At 44.8% G+C, this 21,802-nt stretch overlaps 1 long non-coding RNA gene, 1 other non-coding gene and 1 pseudogene across 5 annotated transcripts in view, besides 2 other annotated features; all 3 read right to left on the bottom strand.

The window, feature by feature from the left end:
* Positions 1 to 21,150, bottom strand: part of LOC105371225 (uncharacterized) — a 26,528-nt gene extending 5,378 nt beyond the window's left edge. For 2 of the 4 annotated variants that reach the window (XR_007066560.1, XR_922065.4), the window contains exons 1-2: positions 5,336 to 21,147; positions 7 to 233 (exon numbers count right to left, since the gene is read on the bottom strand). This is a non-coding gene — a long non-coding RNA (uncharacterized LOC105371225). Of the gene's footprint in view, positions 1 to 6; positions 1,019 to 5,335 lie in introns of those variants that run through there. The other 2 variants (XR_007066561.1, XR_922066.2) reach the window with 2 other exon arrangements.
* Positions 5,702 to 6,558: an enhancer, noted in NCBI's record as "H3K27ac hESC enhancer chr1:147753452-147754308 (GRCh37/hg19 assembly coordinates)". NCBI's record gives its function as "activates a minimal SCP1, AML or CMV promoter by ChIP-STARR-seq in naive H9 embryonic stem cells {active_cell/tissue: H9 hESC(naive)}" and the evidence as "EXISTENCE:reporter gene assay evidence [ECO:0000049][PMID:30033119]".
* Positions 6,468 to 6,539, bottom strand: TRH-GTG1-4 (tRNA-His (anticodon GTG) 1-4). Its single transcript has one exon. It is a non-coding gene; the product is annotated as a tRNA-His (tRNA).
* Positions 7,269 to 7,438: an enhancer, noted in NCBI's record as "active region_1639". NCBI's record gives its function as "activates an Ori minimal core promoter by ATAC-STARR-seq in GM12878 lymphoblastoid cells {active_cell/tissue: GM12878}" and the evidence as "EXISTENCE:reporter gene assay evidence [ECO:0000049][PMID:35858748]".
* On the bottom strand, positions 12,656 to 12,727 carry TRE-TTC6-1 (tRNA-Glu (anticodon TTC) 6-1; annotated as a pseudogene).
* Positions 21,151 to 21,802: the final 652 nt, after the last annotated feature.

The raw sequence follows: 21,802 nt of genomic DNA on the forward strand, positions 1-21,802 counted from the left end.
CCTAACCTCGTCTGGAGGTCCTCCTGTGGCTGGCGAAGGTGAGTCGAGTCCCCGTCTTCAGTTTGTCAAAGTGGACAAAGCCTACGACAATGGCCAGTACCAGCTACTAGGCATTCCCAGTCTTTCCAGTTGGTGGTACTGGAGCTTCCCTACCCAGGATTTCCGTGGATTCCAAGGGTACAACTGAACAGCTTTTGTTGTTCCAACTGCTCTTATTTGAAGAAAGGGCCGATCTGTTGAGAAGTACATAGGAAAACCACTTTGGTAAGAGTAGTATAGCAACTGTTGTTGAGACTGTCACATTCCCCCCACCTCCTCCTCCCTCCTCCTAGAAATGTTCAATGAAAATTAATCCCCACGACGGGCCTGTTGTACTTTCAATGTACAATTGGCAGAACCTAAGGGAACTCTAGGAGGTTCCGGGATGAATATGGGAAGTATGACACAGTCATTTTTATTTACACATGCATTCCAAAAACACATTGAATAAACACATCCAGTTCACCTGTGCCACACTTACAAAGATGGGAAAAGAGGAACTACATACAAACAAGTGAAGATGTAATTGAATGGCTTTTAAATATCTGCTGAAGGTTTCCACTGAAGGTCTTCTACCAGTGTCTTCTCTTTCTCTAAAATAAGACATTCAAGTGCCAGACCCTGAAATAAGTTTTCTGGTTCCAGCTTGTTCTTTCCCATTCTGTATCTTTGCCCCTCCACTCTCTTCTTACATATGCAGGAAAGGTCAGCTCTCCCTCAGTTTCTAATTTGCAACATCCCACATGAAGAATGCAATGACCAGCATCAAAAATTAGACACCCTCCATGGGACTCCATCTCTGTCTTAGTTGGAGCTAATGTACCATAAACTGGGTAGCTGATCCACAACAGACATTTCTCACAGTTCTGGAGTTTGGAAGTCTAAGGTCAAGGTGCCAGCATGGTAGGGTTATGGTGAGGAACCTCTTCCTGGTCATAGACTGCCATCTTCCTACTGTATCTGCAGGGGGCTGAAAGAGGCTGAGAGAGCTCTCTAGTGTCCCTTTTATAGGGGCACTAATCCCACTCAGGAGGACTCCACCCTCTGGATCTAATTACCTCCCAAAGGCCCCTCCTCCTAATTTTAACACTTTCCAGGGGTGGACAGGGGAAGGTTAGGGTTTCAACCAAGGCATTTTGGGGGGACACAAATATTAGGTCTCCTGTGATCTTTCAAGAAGAAGAAGAAATTATAAATGACCCAAAGCTTTGTACATTTCACAGTTAGAAATAAAGAAAACTTTTCCTAAGATTTTGAAAGGCCTGAAATGTGAGCTTCCTCCCCATCAACCCCACTACCAAAATCTGGACTCTGTGCTGAGTGTTGTGGACTTTTTGTGTGTTCCTCCTCCCTGCAGACAACTGAAGATTTATTCTCTCCAGAGGGTAGAAGAGAGGATCTATTGGGAGAACCCGCCCCCAATATTTCAACGTAGGTTCTTTCTATTTTCCATAAGTGTCAGCCAGCTGAGAAATAAAGACAGACAGTACAAAGGGAGGAATTTTACAGGTGGGGTGCCAGGGGTGACATCACATATTAGTAGGACTGTGATGCCCACCTGAGTCTCCGACCAGCAAGTTTTCATTAAGGGTTTCAAAAGGAGAGGGTGTGTAAGAACAGAGAGTAGGTACAAAGATCACATGCTTCAAATAGCAAAAAGCAGAACCACTGATAAGGGTCTAACAAAGATCACATGCTTCTGAGGGAACAGGGCAAAGGGCAAAACCAGAACCACTGATAAGGGTCCAACAAAGATCACAAGGCAAACGGCAAAGGCAGAACCACTGATAAGGGTCAATGTTCAGTGGTGCATGTATTGTCTTGATTAACATCTTAAACAACAGAAAACAGGGTTGAGAGCAGAGAACTGGTCTGACCACAAATTTACCAGGGCTGAGTTTTCCCAACCCTAGTAAGCTTGAGGGTTCTGCAGGAGACCAGGGCTTATCTCAGTCCTTATCTCAACTGCACAAGACAGACATTCCCAGAGTGGCCGTTCATAGACTTCCCCCCAGAGATGCATTCTCTTCCCAGAGTATTAATATTAATATTCCTTGCTAGGAAAAGAATTTAGTGATATGTTGACTACTTGCATGTTCGTTTATAGGCCCTCTGCAAGAAGAAAAATATGACTCTTTTTGCCCGACCCCACAGGCAGTCAGAAATTATGGTTGTCTTCCCTTGTTTCACAAAAATCGCTATTATTCTGTTCTTTTTCAAGGTGCACTGATTTCATGTTGTTCAAACACGTGTTTTACAATCAATTTGTACAGTTAACACAATTATCACAGTGGTCCTGAGGTGAGGTATATCCTCAGTTTATGAAGATAACAGGATTAAGAGATTAAAGTAAAGAGAGGCAAAAGAAATTATAAAAGTATTATTTGAGAACTGGTAAATGTCCATATTAAGGTGAAATCTTTACAATTTATGTTCCTCTGCCTTGGCTGCAGCCGGTCCCTCCACTTGGGGTCCCTGACTTCCCGTAACAATGATCCTTGGCCCCAAGGGGGCAATCAGCATAGATGTGCAAGTACTTGTATCCCACACTGAAATGAGAGGTATGAAGTGACAGCATATCTTGATCTATGTGATGGTTACATGAGTTATGACCTATTTCAAAGCTTATTATGCTGTGTGAAAAAGAAGAAAACCAGAGGACTTGCACAACCTGAGTTTCAGACTCACTCTAAGCTGTTATAATCAAGGCAGTGTGCAAGTGGCATTGGGAGACACAAATACATCAACAGACTGACTTTGGAGACCTGAAACTGACCCACAGCTATAAGGTTCATAGGTTTTTTGTTTGTTTGTTAATTTCTTTTTGTTTTCTGAGACAGGGACTTACTCTGTCATCCAGGCTAGAGTGCAGTGGCGCGATCTCGGCTCACTGCAATCTCTGCTTCCCAGGCTGAAGCGATCCCCGTGCCTCAGCCTCCCAGGTAGCTCATACTACAGGCACATATTAGTAGACATGAGGTTTCTCCATGTTGCCCAGACTGGTCTCCAACTCCTGGGCTCAAGTGATCCACAGGCCTCAGTCTCTCATAGTGCTGGGATTACAGTCATGAGCCACCATGACTGGCCATAGGTTTTCAATAAAAGCAGTTTAATGGGGCAAAGGAAATAGTTTCAATTAATTGCCTTTCATAAAGGAGAAGGGGTAGACGAACAAGGTTATTTCTCCCTCACACTACACTTGAAAGTAACTTGAGACACATTATAGACCAAAATATAAAAGCCAAAGATATAAAGCATTTCGAGGATACTTTGTGACTTGTTGGTAGACAGAGATTTATTAAATAGGGCACAGAAAAAAATGTATAAAGGAAAGGCTTGATACATTAGACTTCATCAAATATTAGCCATATCTTCTCATCAAAAGAGGCAACAAAGAAAGTGAAGAAATGAGACAGCCTCAGACAGGGAGAAAATAGTCACGAAACTTATCTGACCCCCAAACCCTGTAACTATAAAGTATGCTGAGATCTTCTTACCTGGTAATTAAAACAACAAGGACAACAACAACAACAACAACAACAACAACAACAAACCAATCAACCCAAGTATGCTAGATGGGTAAAAGACTTGAACAGATACATAAGAATAAAAGGTACACACATGGTCAACAAAGCATATACAATATGTTTAGCTCTCAGGAAAATGGAAATCAAAACCACATTGAGACACCACTATAACTCCCAGTAGCATGGCTAAATTTATAAGGAGAGGAAACACCCAATCTTGGAGAAGATGAAGAACAACCACAACTCTCACACGTCATTGCTGGAAATGTAAAATGACACAACTACTTTGGGCCAAGTTTTGTGAGTTTTTATGATCTTGCACATATCTCACTCTTTGGTACCAGCAATTAGGCAACTAGGTTTTCCCCAAGAGACACGAAAACAGGTGCCCTCAAAATCTCTTGTGGGAAGAAAGTTCAAAGCCGGCTTATTCAGAATACCCAATACCGGTTTATTCAGAATAGCCAATACCCAGACGCTCATTATCGGGGTGGAGGTGGGGCGAGAATGGCAAACAAACTGTGCTGTCTCTTTGCAATGGAATACTACTCAGCAATGAAAGAGGAATGAACTTCTGCTACACTCAGCAATGGATAGAGCCAGAGACATTATGCAGAGAGAAAGAAGCATGTAGAACAGAGTAGATGCAACGTGATTCCATCTGCGTGAAGTTCTACAAGCAAAGGTAAAGTGAAAACAATCTGGAGAGTGATTGTTCACAAATAAGGCAGAGGACAATGATAATGATTTTTATAATTCTAGTGATTACGTTATTGATTGAGTAGTCACTAAATCCAGGCCCGTCTGACAACAGCAGTGTAAGGCAGAGTTCCCAAAGAGGCCCAACCTTCCACAGAAAAATGTTGAGGCACATAACATTTAAGATAGTTAACCAAGGTCAGGCAAGGGCCGACATAGATTTCTAATACAGAACCTGGGTTCTTGGACATAGATTAGACTGGACCTGTCCACTTCTCTGTTTCAGATGTCTCTGGGATTCTCAGCTGCATCAGAGGAGAGACAGAAGGACAGAGAAGGAGACAGAGGGAGAGAGGAGTAGGGAAGAAATGGAGGGAGGCACAGGGCCCATAGCTGTGAAACAGCAGAGAAGTAACTCTTGCCAGTGTATTTACAGTATACAGAAGTTTTCTGGTGATCAGGACATTAGCAGATGCTAAGTTTGCTGTGGTCAGGAGATGAATTTGATATGCCATAGATTTAGAAATTAAAACGAAACCCTAAAGTTATTGGAAGAGAATGTAGCAGAATACATTTCTGCCTTAAGAGATAACAGGAAAAAATAAAGCAAAGTAGAATTTCACCAAAGTTATCAACTTCTGCTCATCAAGAATCACCATGAGAAAGTGAGAAGGTGAGCCACAGACTGGGAGAAGATAATTGCACTGTGTTTACCTGAAAAAAAAAAGGCTCAAATTTTGAATATAGAGAGTACTTTTTACAAATCAGTAATAAAAAGCAAAGCCAATTGAATTAGGGAAAATGCTTCAAAGCCTGTCTTCTCAAAGAAGGATTGCTAAACGGTGAAAAGGCATTAGAAAATATGCTCAACAGCATTACTCATTAAAGGAAACACAAATTGAAGCCACGATGTGGTACCGTTTTACATCCACCAGAACAGGTGTATTTAAAAAACAGTAAACACCACGCGCTGTCAAGGATGTCCAGCCAGTGGAACTCTCCTTGCTGGTGAGAAAGCATTCTGGAAGAAACCATTTGGCCGTTTCTAATAAAGTTAATATTACACCTACCCTATGATCCAACAATTCCAGTACTTGGTATTCCTCAAGGGAAATGAATGCACGTGTCCACAAAAAGACCTATACAAGAAGAATTTTCGTTCATCTTGTCCAGCAAGTGGCATCGGTTTCCTATCAGCAGGAGTCTGAACACTTCTGGCCCTAGCCTCTTGGTATCAGAGTCGCCAAGGAAATACAAGGCAGTCAGAGACTGGACGGGAGAACAACACATTATTCATACAGAGAGGAGACAGAGCGGGGTGTGGGCTCCGCTTCAGTCTTGGGCGTTGGTCCCCCATGGCCAGCAGGTCCCTCCATTTGGCCTGCACACACAGCCTCTTGAGAAGCAGAAGAAAGGACCCCCGCTTCCTCCCCTCAGTGGGGGGCAGATACAGCAGCTGGCCAGGTGCCAGTTGATGCACATGCTTAAGTGGAACAAAGGGGTACACACCAAGTCTGATCGGGGGAAAGATACTCCCACACAAGGAGGTGAGTCCAGCACAGGCTGTGATGACTCCTTATCTCTCAGGAAGGAAGTGCTCCAGGCCCAAGGCCCATTCCTACGTGGCAGAGTGGAGGTGGAAAGACCCCTGGCACCAGATTGCCTTTCCTCACACTTTGCTGTTGGCATACAAACTTGGTGACGGGCACAGAGACAAGCCATTGTAGGCCACAACAAAGAGTTTGGAGTTTAAAGTCATTAAAAGCTTCTTGTCGTTTCGTGTGTAACAGCCCCAGTGACTGGAAAACAGGTTCTGAGCACACCATTGCCTTCGTGTAAGCCACCACCAACAGGGCTGACTGGGTTATTTGCTCTGTGAGGCTCAGAGACAGGACGGTGCACGTCCAGAGTTTCCCTTGGACTCCTCCCCAGGTTAGTGAGCTGTGAGGTCTCTTTTCCTTACCCCGACGTGCCCCCAGTGACCGGAAGAACGGTTCTGAGCACACCATTGCCTTCGTGTAAGCCACCAACAGGGCCGACTGGGTTATTTGCTGCGTGAGGCTCAGAAACAGGAGGGAGCACGTCCAGGGTTTCCCTTGGATTCCTCGCCAAGTTAGTAAGGTGTGAGGTCTCTTTTCCTTCCCCTGACGCGCCTGGTTGCGGGAGCAAAAGGGAAGAGCTGACAGCCTAGACTAACGACATTGCCGTGACTCGGATTCGAACCGAGGTTGCTGCGGCCACAACGCAGAGTACTAACCACTATACGATCACGGCGAGCCACAGGCTAAGCCGCGATGGCGGAGCTTGCTCTAGCCCTTTTGACGTCAATGGATTTCGATTATTAGGCGGATTCGTTCCCAGACAGCCACAGGGGACTCGCGCTTTTCTTTCATGCCCGCTCTGCTTTTCCCTCCCTTCCTCCCAATCTTCATACGTGATGAGAACAATTCTCATCTCCTCCACTCCAGCCTGGGCCTCCCTGCACCAGCCTCTCTCGGGAGGTCTCTCTGTCCTGGTCCGCACCTCCTCTGCTTCTGTGGGGCCTCTCCGTATTTCTGCTTTTCACCCCTCCTCTCTCCCGCCCCACCGACCGAGGCCGAGGTGAGCGAGGGGAGCGCAAGCAGCAGTAGAGAATCGGGTGAAGGCGGAGCCAAGAAGGGGAAGAGCCATCACTAGAGCCCACGGGGCGTTCTGCTTGCTTCCCCTGGGACCCACGCGGCTCAGGCCCAGGGAGTCGCGGACCCGGGCGTTTCCTGGGATGCTGGGTCTGACGCCTGCGAGGGTCAGGACGGGGCGAAGGCCATTCCGCTGCCCTTCCAGCTTCGGAATCACCCAATGCACGGGTTTCAACCGTAGCCAGCAAGATGCGCCTCTCAGGTTTTCCGAGGCTTTGGAGCCTGCACAATTGTTCTACAAAAGGCAGTAGCTCCGCCGAACGTTGGATCGTCCCTTGGTCTGGTGATACCAGAACGAGAGTTGACTGTGTGTCTCAGTCGGTTGGTATGCTTGCTTCCAAGCCTGGAGGTGGGTGGTTCGAGCCTGTTCTATAGAGCTATTTCTTGCATTTTAAAAATGCTTAAACCGCTGGCAACTTTCTTCTATCGAGCACATGGTTTCATGGAAAGGCAGAGCGAGACCAACTTTACCCTCCACTCCTCCTTGTCTCGCGTAGGACAAGAGGAAGTAAATCAAGGTCCACTAGGATTCTGGGAACTCTCTCTCACCTTTTTTTTTTTTTTTTTTTTTGAGACCGGGTCTCCCTCTGTTGCATAGCTGGAGTTCCCTGGCGCGATCTCGCCTCACTGCAACCTCCGACCCTCTGGTTCAAGCAATTCTCCTGCCTCAGCCCCCCGAGTAGCTGGGATTATAGGCATGGGCCACCACGCCCAGTTAAGTTTTATATTTTTAGTAGAGACCGGGTTTCACCATGTTGGCCAGGGTGGTCTCGGTCTCCTGACCTCGTGACCCGCCCGCCTCAGCCTCCCAAAGTGCTGGGATTACAGGAGTGAGCCACCGCGCCTGGCGCCCTCTCTCTCTCTCTCTTTCTCTGTCTCTCTAACTGTCATTCATTTAGCCCTTTCCATACGCTTTTGAGGTTAAATTGGTTCTGTGATTTTACAATTACATATAATGCTCTAGTCATTCTTGTACGGGCATTGTCATCCACTGGTGTATAAGTATTTCTATAGGATAGAGCTGCAATTACTATAGAAAGAGCAATTACTCTATCATAGTGTCCACGCTGTTTTTATATCATTCCATTCTCTCTCCTCTTTTGGCTTATTAGCTATAACTCTTTCATTTGTTATTTTAGTAATTGCCTTAGGGCTTATAGCCAACCTTTTTAACTTATCACAGTCAACCTTCAAGTGATGTTATACCTCGCCTTCTGGCCTTGATGCTATTGCTGACATGCACTTTACCTTTGGGCATGTTATAAACCCCACAACCCATTGTTGCTTTTGTTTAAATGGTCAAATTTTCACAAAAGAAATTTACAAAATAAGAAAATACCTATTATAGTTACCCATTTCTGGTGTTCTTCATTTCCTCTGGAAATGAAGATCTGGATTTTTGTCTGGTATTGGGTTCCTTCTGCCTGGAGGACTCCTTTCACGGTTTTTGTAGTGTGGCTCAGCTGGCTGCTAGTGAATTCGGTCAGCTTTTGTACATCTCTAAATGTCATTTTTTTTTTTTTTTTTTTTTTTTTTGAGATGGAGTCTCGCTCTGTCGCCCAGGCTGGAGTGCAGTGGGGCGATCTCGGCTCACTGCAAACTCCACCTCCCAGGTTCACACCATTCTCCTGCCTCAGCCTCCCCAGTAGCTGGGATTACAGGCACCCGCCACCATGCCCGGCTATTTTTTTGTATTTTTAGTAGAGGCGGGGTTTCACCGTGTTAGCCAGGATAGTCTCAATCTCCTGACCTTGTGATCCACCCACCTCGGCCTCCCTAAGTGCTGGGGATTACAGGCTTGAGCCACCGTGCCTGGCCTAAATGTCCTTATTTCACTTCCAGTTTTGGGAATTTATTTTTTCTGGCATAGTATTCTAGGTTAACTTCCCCTGCCCTCAGTACCTTAAAGATGTTGCTTCTCTGTCTGCTCGTGTGCATTGCTGCTCCTGGTAGAGGCCGGCAAGAGCAGAAAGGAAGCTGATGCAATCCTCATCTTTGCTCCTGTGTATGTACAATGTCTTTTTCTTCTGGCCAGATTTGAGCAATGTTATTATGAGGTATCTAGGAGTGGTTTTCTTCATGTTTCTTGTGCTTTTGTTTCCTCAGTTCCTTGGGTCACTGGATTTATAATTTTTGTTATGATTGGGAACTTTCCAGCTATTTTTCTTCAGAAATTGGCTGGGCACAGTGGCTCACGCCTTTGGGAGGCCAAGTCGGGAGGTGTTGAGTGAGGCCTGAAATTCAAGACCAGCCTGGGTCTCAACATACTGAGACCCCATTCCTAAGAAAAATAACAAAGAAAGAAAATAAATGTTTCCTTTCCTCCCTGCTCCTTCTCAGGGACTCCCATTACTCATAAATTAGACCTCTTAAGTCTGCCCTACAGTTCAGTGATAATCTTTTCATTTAAAAAAATTTCTTTTTTCTGTAAGTTTCATTTTGCATATTTTCAATTATTCATGGTTCCATGTTCCCTGATCATTTCTTCTGCAACATCTAATCTGCTGTTAATCCCATCCAACGACTTTACCATCTCTGATAGTGTGGTTTTGGCATGATTTGGGCTCACTGCAACCTCTGCCTGCCTGGCTCAAGTGATTCTCCTGCTTCAGCCTCCCAAGTAGTTGGTACTATAGGCATGTGCCACGATACCCGGCCAATGTTTTGTATTTTGAGTAGAGACAGGGGTTTCACCATGTTAGCCAGGATCATCTTCATCTCCTGACTTTGTGATCTGCCGGATTCAGACTCCCAAAGTCCTAGGATTACAGTTGTGAGCCAGTGCACCTGGCCCCTTCCTTCCTTCCTTCCTTCCTCCCTTCCTTCCTTCCTTCCTTCCTTCCTTTCATGAGACAGGGTCTCACCCTGTAGCCCAAGCTGGACTTCAGTGATGTAATCTTGGCTCACTGCAACCTCTGCCTCTCAGGGTGAAACGATCGTCCCACTGCAACCTCCTGACTAGCTGGGACTACAGGCACACACCACCATGCCTGGCTAATTATTTGAAATTTTTTTGGTAGAGATGAGGTTTCATCATGTTGCCCAGTCTGGTCTGAAACTCCTGAGCTCAAGGGATCAGCCCACCCCGGCCTCCCAAACTGCTGGCATTACAGGCACCTGTTTGTTTGTGGAGAGGAGCAGTGGGGAGATTTCAGGCAGGAGAGTAAATCAGGCATCTGTTACTCAAACTTTGCTGGGAGCTGAAGGCATCTGTTTACGTGTTCTTAGTTTGACTTCAACAGGAGGTGTGCCAATTTATCTTCCAACATATTTTTCCAACTCAGTGAGACAGCCTTTTCCTTCGTGCTCTTGGCAGCTCAGCAAAGTTTCCACACACCAGTCTGATGTACCAGTGACGGGGTGGTGCCCTGCCTGACTTACCTAAGCAGGAGGCGCAGCAGAAAGACATGGTGGACACTGCCCAGAGATACTCTCTGATAAGTGTTCCACAGCTAAACCTCCAAGATGTTTAGAAAGTCTTCCAATAATTGTAATTGTTTTCTCTGGTGATCTACCTAACTAAGTCCAGAGAAAACTGGCTGGAGGGACCCTGAGCTGCTTCCTGTCAAGAGGCTTATCAAATAGGAGGGGAAAGAATGGCTTCTTCTAGAAATTTGTTCCTCTTCTCATTTCTTTATGAATTGCATTCTGCTTTTGTTGAATGCAAACGATCTATGGACTGTTCTCCCTCCTAGACAAGGGTGAATTAGCATGCTAAAAACTACCTCTGTGTTATTCCTTCCTTGACAGTGTTTGTTTTGTTTTGATTTTTTGTGAGACTCATCTCACTGGAGACAAATCTCTGGAGCCATAGGATCCTGCACCTGACCATGCTTCTTATGCAGACCTGGATCCTTGGAGTTATTGGCCCCCTTTGCCTTGGTTCTTTTGTTGACTCTCTTCAGCAAAACTGAACTCCAACTTTTACACCCTAAATCTGGCTCTTGGACATATAGGTCCTTTTGCTTCCCAACTCCTCCTTGATCCAGCCCTGCCTTTCCAACCTCTCCATCTGTGTCTGTGTGCCTGTGTCTTGTCTGTCTGTCTCTCATACTCCAGGCTGCCCCCAGTATTACCCACTTTCTTCTCCTCCTCTTCAATGTTCAGGGTTCAGCTTCCTCTCTACCTACAGAGTCCCACAGACTGAAGGTGTTTCCCCTTACAGAGAGGGGAGCTCATTCCAGAAGGTGCCCTCTAGACTTGGAATAAACCTTACAAAGAACACCCAGGTTTGAAAAGCTTTTTCTATCTTCCCATTACCCCAATTATTCAAAGGACTAAAAGTGGGAAGTCCAGTAGAATTCTTGATGTCTCTCAGAAACCGACATTGGAATGCCTTCATTCACTGAGCATATATTGGGTGCTCACTAGGTGTGAATCCTTTCTCTAGGTGAGTAGCTGCATGGTGTGCCAATCCTGCCTTACAGAGCCCACATCTAGAGGCCTCAAGAAGAGACTGGGCAGTGGGAACACAACCGGCTTGTGTCCTCCCCACGAGCGTTTCCCCGTTCAGGGACAGGGGACACGAGCAGTGAGCATGACAAATGAAGCACAGTGAAGGAAGGGGAAGTGGGTGACTTCAGACCAAGAGGCTACTGTGGTCATGTGCAGTGGGGCCGCTTCTGATAGGGGAAGCACAAGAGGCAGTGTGGGCCAGGGAGAATGTCCTGGATCTGGCATTCCTGCATCTTGCCCCCACTCACACTGCCTGGTAACAATGTACCCAACCACACAACTTCTGGCCTCCATGTCACTACGCCCTCAGGCATCTAGATGCGCAGCCTGGGGATGGGGGCATTTAATAATAGACAGATGTCTGAGGCAGATGTCGTCAGACTTCCAGGCACAACGTGCCTCATTGTGGAGCAATTAGGGCAGTCATCGGCAAAAAACTAAAGACTACTCATCCTGTTCCATGCAGGAGCATAGTTAACCTTGTAACTATTCTTTTCTGACCTTCATTCTTCCACGTCCAGATATATGGGGTCTTTGATGCCCATCTGCTTCAAGTTAGATGATGAAAATCCTGCCTGAAGGCTTAGGGGTTTGTTAGAAAAATAAATGCTGTTCGCAAAAGGTGCATTTTAGGCAAAAGCTCAGTTCTGGAGCTCCAGAATCTACCTACCCCAAGCCCAATATACACCTCCTTTCTGTACCTCCATCCTCGTTGCACCTGCCTTCGCTGATTCTTCAGGCTGCCCATCTCTGAGAAGATGGCAATCCCTAGCAGAAGAACAAGAGAACCTTGGACACTTCTGTCCATGAAGCCGTAGACGCGAGCAGATAGCCTTATTCCTTGGCGGTGTGACTCTGAAGTCACAGGTTTTCTGTGCCTCCATTTCTGCATTCTAAAATGGGCCCAATAGGAATGCGTTTCTAAATGGGTTGTTCCAAGTTTAAATAAGACAGGGCAGTAAAACATTGAACCCATGCCCTGAGGCATAGTAAATGCTCCAAGAGCATTAACCATTATCATCGGTGGCCTCATCACGGCTATTATTATCTACATCCATCTTTGAAATAATTGCATATCCTTTTAGGGTATGGAGTGATCACAACATATAACATTTCCTAATTGGTGAACATTTATTATTACAATATTGCTGTTCTTTATTACAAATATTGCTGCTGGGAACATATTTCTGCATTTTAATCATCACCTGTGTGTTTCTCTATCAAATCTTCACACACAATTTGGGGATGTTACAAAATGTATTCCTTCATCGGGAATTGAACCCGGGCCGCACGGGTGAAAGCACCGAATCCTAGCCACTAGACCACCAAGGAAGCTGACCCACACAACCATCTCCTTTTCAGAGGAAAAAAGAGAAGGTAAAGAAAGATGAACTTTCTAAGAGATGGAGCGGCCAACTGAAAGTGGCTGTCTGTGACCCAAGCGGGCTGCAGGACTGCAGGGCTCCAGGCAGTCACTGAGCAGCTACTCAACACCTCTCGCCTCTGCCAGCCTGGCCGCTGCTTTGGGCTGTATTGAGGACAGGCCACAAGGAAACTGAGCAGGTGTTCCATTCTAGCCTAGCTGTAGCAAGGTGTGAGGCAGAGCCAAGCACTTGCTCTGTTTCCGAGCCTCAGTTTCCTTGCCACCGAAGTGCGGACTTGGCTCTCATTGTGAGCCGAATCCCTCTGCTTCCTGATCTCTGAACTGGCGCAAGGGGCTCTACCAATAAAGACATGTGTAGGGGTCCCCTTTTGCCCCCAACTAGCTCAATTAGTAGAGCATGAAACTGAATGGATGGGTCTTTGGCTCGAGCTCCAGGTGCAGATTTACGTTCATTTTCTTTTGTTCCGCCACACAATTCGACCGGTTCCGCCACTGTCCTCGGGGCGCGAGGAAGCCAAGTGGGCTTCACAGGAAAGACCTCCTTGGTTTCAGAGACATTGTAGCTGTCATCTTGAAATCTTCAGAAAGAAGATTTTGGCGATAGATGAGAAGACTGGAAATTTCTGGATCTAAAGCTAACATGAAGTCCACCTCATCTGGCGCCCTTGTCTCCCGATCCAACTCACGGATCCAACTCATGGCGGGCAAACCAGGCCTGGTTCCTTGTGCTCAGCGGGGTTTCAGGTAGTAATGGAACTCCTCCCGTACTTCTTGTGATCAAAGATGCAGCTAGTTTCCCCCATCCCACCCCTCAGCTCCCCTCCCCTCCCTTAAAAAAACAGAAAAAGAAAAGGTCATTATGAAAGCCACCTTTCGTGTGAGAGGCGAACCTGCTGACCCCACTCTAGCTAAACGACCCGAGCACCGCCCCTTGAGGACAAACCCACGAAAATGTTAGGCGCCGCCTTGGGCAACTGCGTATTGCTGCCTGTGACAGATGAAATTCGACTGCATCTGGACATTCCCGCGGCCCCAGGAAAGTGCTAGCAAAAGGCCCCGGAAAGCACCTGCGATCCCTCAGGTAAGAAGACTGCTGATCGCAATAGGCCCGGTCTGAGGGTTCCCCGCTTTCTCCCGAAATGAAGACACTGGAGACCCATAACCGGGCTACAGGATCCGGATTCTTCCCGCGGGGTATCCAGTTCCAGAACTAAGCGCCCATGTGCGGGATTCGCCTGGCTAACACTCTCCGGCTCGCAGAAGCGGCAGCAGCCGGCGGGTTTTGAGCTTCCGAGTCCCGGGTGCGCAAGAGTGTGGACGCCACCCCTCCAGGGCTGCCAAGCCTCCAGGGCTGCCAAGCCGAGAGGCTCCAAGCCAAGGGGCCTCATCCGCGCGCTCTTTCCTCGAGGGCCCTCCACTCAGGTTGTCAACAGAGGTAGGTCAGGTGAGAAACCTGGATTTCTACACACACCTGGCTTCAACGAGATGGTGCCACTCCCCTTCCCCTGCAGAAGCAGACTCAGAAAAAGGTAGTTAAAACAGAAGGTTTCAATAAAATCGAGAGTCTGGTAACATAATACCCAAAAGTCCAAGTTTCAGTTGAAAATCCTTCATCATAGCAAGAAGCAGGAAAATCTTATGCCGAATGAAAATAGACAGCCGATACACACTGGCAATAAGATGAGAGAGGTGTTGGGATTGTCTGACAAAGATTTTAAAGCCAGCAAGCCTGATGAAAATGATTTAGTAATTATGAGCACATTCAAAACAATGGACAAATAGAAAGCCTTAGCAAATAAATACAAGACTTAAAGGAGAACCAAATGGAAGTATTAGAGGTGGAAAATACAACAACCAAAATAAAAAGTCCAACACATAGGCTCAACAGCAGAATGGATGGTGCAGAGCAAAGAAATCCATCCACTACAGATGAAAAAATAGATATTGCACAATCTTAACAAGGAAAAAACAGACTGGGTGAGAAGGTAAGCAGAACCTCTGTGAAACTACCTCAGAAGGTCTCACTTTCATGTTGTTATTTATGTCTGGAAGGGGAAGAGGAAGAGGAAGAGGACAAGGCTGCAAACATAAAGAAGTAAATGGCTAAAAGCTTCCCAGAGTTGGCAAGAGACAGAAACCTACAGGTTCAAGAAGCTGTGAGAACCCCAAATAGAATAAAACCCAAAGAGGTCTATGGCAAGCCACATGAAAAAATAAAATGTTGGAAATGAAAGACAAAGAGAATATCTTGAAAGCAACACAGAAAGGTGACACCTTACCTAGAAAGGTAAAACAATTCTGGGGATGATCTATTTCTCATGAGAAACCATGGAGGTACAATGAAGTTGCCAGGTGCTTTTCAAGCCATGAAAGAAAACAATTGTCAACCCAGACTCCTCTCTCCAGCAGAAACATCTTTCAGGGATTAAGGGGAAGATCAAAACAGTTTCAGATTAAGAAAAGCTAAGGGAATCTCTGACCAGCAGTTCTACCTTAAAAGAAAGGCTAAAGGGAGTTCTCTAGACAGAAAGGAAATGATTAAAGAAGGAACCTTGGGACATCAGAAAGAAAATTAAAAAAAAAACAAACAAACAGCAAGCAAAATAGGCCTTCCTTCTTCTCTTGAGTTTTCTAAACTACGATTGACAGCTTCAGAAAAAAATCATACCATCATTTGATGTGGTTCTAACTCTCTGTAAAAAAAAATCTTTGAAATAATTATAAACTGGGAGGGTAAAGAGACCTACAAGGGAGGTAACTCATCTATCATTCATTCACACTGGTACAACAATGACACCAGTATACTGTGTGGTAAGATAGAGATGCACAGACATATGAATGTCTGGAAAAACTAAGAGGGCTATGCAAACAGATATACTCAAAAACACTATGGGTAAGGCAAAACACCATTCTGAAAAATGTTCAAGTCACCTTAGGAAGGTAAGGAAAAGAAAGCATATCCAGAAAACGACACCAGAGAGAACAAACACAAAAGGAAAAATATAATGGCAGGCTTAAGCCCTACCCTATCAATCATCGTATTAAATATCAATGATCTAAATATACCAATTACAAGACACAGATTGGCAGAGTAGGTTAATGGACGCGACACAACTACATCCTGGCTACAAAGAGACTACCTTCAAATATGATGATACAGGCAAGTTGAAATCCAAAGGATGGGAAAAGATGTATCATGCAAACCTTAGACAAAGGAGAGCAAGACTGGTTATATTAATGTCAGATATAGTATATTTCAGAATAAAGAAACTAATCAGAGACAGAGAGGGACAATATATAATGAGGAAACAACCAATCCACCAACTCCTCCCCTGACAAAAGTCATAAATGTCTATGCAACAACAATTGAAATTACTGAACAGTGAACTAGACAAATCCACAAATATAGCTATATGCTTCAACGTCCCCCTTTCTCAACAATTTATGCAATAACCAGACAGAAAATCAACAAGAATATAGAAGAACCCAACAGCATGATCAACCAGCGGGACTTCCATTGACAATTTTAGAACACTCAGCCACACCAGAATACACATTGTTATGGGATGCATTGTGCCCAGCCACCCCAAATTCATATGTTAAAATCAGAACATTAGTAGCAACTAGTGATATACCAATTAAAATCACAATGAGAAATTGCTGCATACCTATCAGAATGGCCAAAAGAAAAGCGTAACCACATCAAGTGCTGTCAAGGATTCAGAGAAAGCTGGATCACTCATACATTGCTGGTGGAAATCTAAATGGTTACAGCCCACTCTGGAGAATATCTGTATAGTTTTTACTTTTAAAACTATATGTGCAACTACCATACCACCTAGGAATTGTATTCCATGCATTTATCACAGAGGAATAGAATCTTATGTTCACACAAAATCCATGTACTTAAAGTTTATAGCAGCCTTGTTTTTAATAGCCAAAATTGAGGAAAAAATGTATAGATGACTTTCATGAGGTGAATGGTTAAACAAATTGTGTTATATATCCATAGCATCGCATAGTCCTCAATAATTTTTTTTAAAAAACAACAAATTATTGATAGCCACAATAACCTGGATGAATCTCCACAGAATTATGTTGAGTGGACAAAGGGTAATCCCAAAGGTGACATGTAGGATTCCACTTACGTAACATTCTTGAAATGAATAAATTATATGAATGGGGAATAGATTAATAGCGGCCAGGAATTAAGGAGGGAAGGAGGAGCAGCACTGGAGAGACAGGTTCACGGCTATAAAAGGGCAACATGAGGAATTGCAGTGTTGATGGAAATGTTCTGTACCTTGCTTGTATCAATGTCAATCTCCTGGTACTGTGGCATTTGCAATACATTTGCAGTATTTGCAAAAATTACCATTTTGGAAATATTACCAAGATGTTACCATTGGAGGAAACTGAGTAAAGTGTACAAGGGACCTCTCTTTTTCTCTCTGAGTTCTTAAGATTGTATGTGAATTATTAAAATGTAAAAATTAACTTAAAAAAATCCTAAGTATATTTCTCCTTGACTGATCATGCCTTTGCTTAAAAACATTAAGGCAACAATATTTTTCCCAACACCCTTTATTTTCTTGAAGACTGTTTTAACAAAAGCTGTTCTTAGGGCTTTTCCTAAAAGTTTAAAACTTCTAGTAATCCTTACTGTTCTTCTTTGAGAACCGTCCAGGGTTTTGTTTTATTTATTTATTTTACACCTTTCAAAAGAATAAAGACAAAAACTGGCAACTGGCATATAATACTATATTAGTCTTAGTCCTCCAGAGAAAGAAATGAGCAGGATACACACACACACATACACACACACACACACACACACACACACAGAAGCAGAGAAGCCCAAGTTCTACTCTGAGTAAGCTCTAGACCGAGGAGAGTCAAATATAGTTCAAGACCAAGTCCAAGACTTAAGGCAGAAGATTGATGTCCTAGCTCAAAGACAGTGGAGAAGAAAAACTTCTTTCTTAACCCTTCATCCTATTCAAGCCGTCCATGGGTTGGATGAGGTCCACTCACACCCAGGAGGGCAATCTGCTTCACTGAGTTTACTGATTGAAATGTCAATCTCTTCCAGGAACACCCTCAGAGACACAGTGAGAAATCATGTCTAACCAAATATCTGGGCACCCTCTGGCCCAGTCAAATTGCCACAAAAATTAACCTTCACAAAAACTCTCAATAGAAGTTACTAATAAATGTAGCATCATGTCCTGCCTGTTTATCCCATGACAATTAATATACTCCAGCGTAACATTGGCTTCTGTTCCCTTACTGTAGCAACACATAGGAGTTTCATTTAAAGTGAGGATAATTTTTACCTTATGAAGTCTCTCCCTACCCATACATACCATTGCCACTTGTGGATTGTCATTTTGCCATGGCTTTCTTATACAAAATATCAACAGGCTATATACTTTGAAAATGTAAGTTTGAATTTCATCTTGGCTGCATAAGTCACTTTCCATTTTGACAAGGCCTAGATATATTTTTATCTCCCGAATATCGGTAATGCATACCTATTTTGGGGCCCACTCCCAATCTCACGGTTTTCTTTGTTTTCATTTAGATCTCAATAGATATGCCTAGGCTGCTGGAATGTCACTGAAAATGGCCCGTGGCCTTGTCCATCTATCAGAGTCCAGTAAAATCTTGACCATGGGATGGGGGAATGGAAAATGAGAACAACCAAACTCAGCACACAAAGACTCAGTTTAAACCTCTGTGCTAAGAGTTGATCAGACTCTATCATGACTTCTAATAGCATAAGACCATATCCTGTGTATGACCCTCGGCTCCCATGGCAATGCCTGCCTAAGAAAGCTCAAGGCTGCCAGGGGAACTTACTTTAGTTCTAGCCAGTACCTGCTGATGATGGTAGGTTCCTTCTTATAGCACTTACTAAGAAGGGAATCCTTCCTCCATCCCTTTGAGATATGTGTGTATCTCCTAGGGACTCCAGTGTGTCTTTTCCCAGGATCTGAAAGCCATTCCTTTGAGGTATAGTCCTCAGGAAGGACTGAGTCTCTGTCTTCCGGTCTCTGTGGGAGGTTAGAATCCTAATGTCTAATATTGCCAGCTGGCAGACACAGCTGTCTTGATGAGGCAGAAGCTTACAATGACTAATCTTTTGTAATGTTTCACTTGTGCTGTGCCCTCTCCCCTGCCTCACTCTCTGTTTAGAATGCCATCACCTCTGCACAAATGCGATGGAGCTCAGCCCCTTCCTCTATGGTCAATAGTTACTGAAGAAAATCTGTTTTCACAGCTTTGACTAATGTCTGACTTTATCTTTGACAAAATAAGTGTGACCAATTGTTTTTAGCGGCACGGCAGCTGCAAAGAGAGGCACAGACATGATGGGAGAGGGAGGAATCATCTGACCCTTCTCATTTCATAGGCATCTATTACTGCCTGGTATTTATGAGCCCGAGACTTGGCTGGGCTGCCCTGGTGTATCACTCCATGGCTCTGAGGCAGGACTTGAATAGGCTGGTGGTGACACTTGGTGTGACCATAGCCACCTTCAAAGATGCCATTAAGGGTTCACTAGAAAATGAAAGGAAACATAGAAAAACTGATTTTGAAAGTTGTTGCCTCTCCCACTTCCTCATACAGAGTGTGTATGATATTGCTGTGTGATGTTAGTTGGACTGCAATTTAGCACAACAGCTGTTCTAATAATTGGTAGTTTCTCATCGAGTTAAGCCTACCTGAAAAGGAAGCACACTTACCTTTATTGATTACCCCCATTAAATGAACAATACATCCAAAAATGTTCTTATTAACCTCATTTTTCTACTAAGGAAAAACTGGGAATAACACAAATCTTCATCAACAGAAGGATTTAATACTGACTGTTATACAGCCATAAAACAATCCCAGAAGTTCACTCAATAACATCAAAACCAGAAATCCACACTGATGCCACTGATGGCAGAAAATCATGATACAAAAATGAGAAAGAGGAGAGAGAAAAAATGTACTATAGCCAGAGTAGTGGGTAAAAGCCAAAGAGCTCAGTTTCTACTCATGATATTCAGTAGAAGAACCGAAGGAACATGAGCCAATAGCTCTAAGGGTCCAGGTCTGCACAAGGTGCCTGTTGGGTGCAGGGTTCTGTTGGCTCCAATGATGTATCGCAAATGGGCTAATTTTTATGGACATAGCCACAGCAGAAATCTATCAAAGAATAATAAAGGGATAGCTATTTGCATGTTAATTTACCACTGTATAGGAGGGAGAATGGGCATTACATTGGTTTGGTCAAACAAAAGCAAAACCAAGATTTATGAAGAAAAGAGGAAAGGGGAGAAGAAAAAATTATCTGGGACCTTTGTGATTTTGCTCCCCTTGTATAAGCGACTTGGCAGAAAGCTGACAAAGAGGTCACTGTGGCCCATCTTCTCCGGACCCACGTGACTTGGTCACCACAGAAAACAATTACAGATATTGGAGGACTTTAAAACATCCTAGAAGTTTAGCAGCTCATCCTAAGCCGCAGAATATCTGTGCGTAATGTCCACCATTTCCTTCGGTTGTACACCCCCTCAGTTAAGCCAGGAGGATGCCTCTCTTCTCAGTGGAATATCATACATCAATGTGTAGAAACGTTTGTTGTGCCGGCAAGTAAATGACAGAAGGGACATTGATAGAATTGGGAAACAAATTGGAATATGATTTGGTATCGCTCCCACGGAAGATAAATTTGCAGAATGTACTCAAATTAGAAGCATTAAATAAATGTTGTAATGTAAAAATGGCACATCCTCCTCTCTACACTATAGAAATATCTGCACAAGTGTCCAAAGATATGTGTACAAGAATAGTGGAGATTGCGGCATCATTTGTAATCCTAAAGCCATGAAACCCACCTCATTTCAAAAACATCTTGAAAAGGGTTAAATCATGCACAAACAGAGGAAGAAATGCTGTTTTCACAAACAATGGCGAGGATCACCATGAGGATGACTGATTCCACTGGTCACATTATTGATAGAGGAATTACTTAAACCCAGGCACATCCGGGGACAGAATACTACTGTAATAGGTCTCCTATTATTAAACATGAAAAACTAGAGGCACTTTACTCCCCCAAGTCTTCCATGGGAGCAAAGAACATTTTTATCACACCAGAAGTGAGTTCCTGTCTAAGGTCTCTGGGATTCTTGAGTTTGACAGGTACAAGGCACCATGGGCCTTGCCAAGCCTCAGACCTAAGAAGGTGGGGAAGAGGACATGTGTGTCTCCTGATTAGGCTGGAGTTGATTGTATATCAACAGAAATGGGTTAAAACAACAAAGCGAGGAGTCCCTGGTTGGGCTCGGACCACCAGCCTTTCTGTTAACAGCCAAACGCGCTGATTGCGCAACAGAGACCGCTGCTACTGATTCTACCGGGCGCTACGTGCAGGGCACACTCACCAAACTCTCCCCATCCCTTTTGTCCTGAGGGCCTGCCCCTCAGGAGGGAAAACCGGAGACATTAGAGCGGTGAGTCGCGCTGATCACGTTGCACACCCGCGGGTTGGGAGATTCTGGAGCCAGAAGGACAGCCGAATGGCCTTCGCCCGCCCTGCCCCTCGCCTGCTTCAGAAGCCCCCGGAAACGCCCCAGTCTGCGACCCGGGCCCGAGCCGCCTGGGGGCCCAAGGGAAGCTGAATGCCCGGTGGGCTCCCAGGATGGCTCTTCCAGTTCTTTGCGCCGCCTTCACCCCGTGAGGGAGCCTGTGCCCACACTGCCCAATCGCTTTAGGGGCCGCTGCAGAGCTTCCGCTGCCATCTTCGGATCCTGTGTCCGCAGGCGGGCTCCACCAGGGCAGGGATGGTGGTGAGAGTTCCTCGTGATCCCCTCGCAGGGAGCAGGGTCTGCCATTCACCAGGGCGCAGGACTAAGACTCGTCGAGTGAATCCATTGTCGCCTTTAACTTTTAGTCCTTTGAAGAGTCCTGAGAATGTAAATCATGAACTATTTTTCTGTGGGGAAGTTTTGTTTTGTTTTGTTTTGCGA

The sequence above is a fragment of the Homo sapiens genome, chromosome 1 (assembly GCF_000001405.40).
Source record: "Homo sapiens chromosome 1, GRCh38.p14 Primary Assembly".
NCBI lineage: Eukaryota > Metazoa > Chordata > Mammalia > Primates > Hominidae > Homo > Homo sapiens.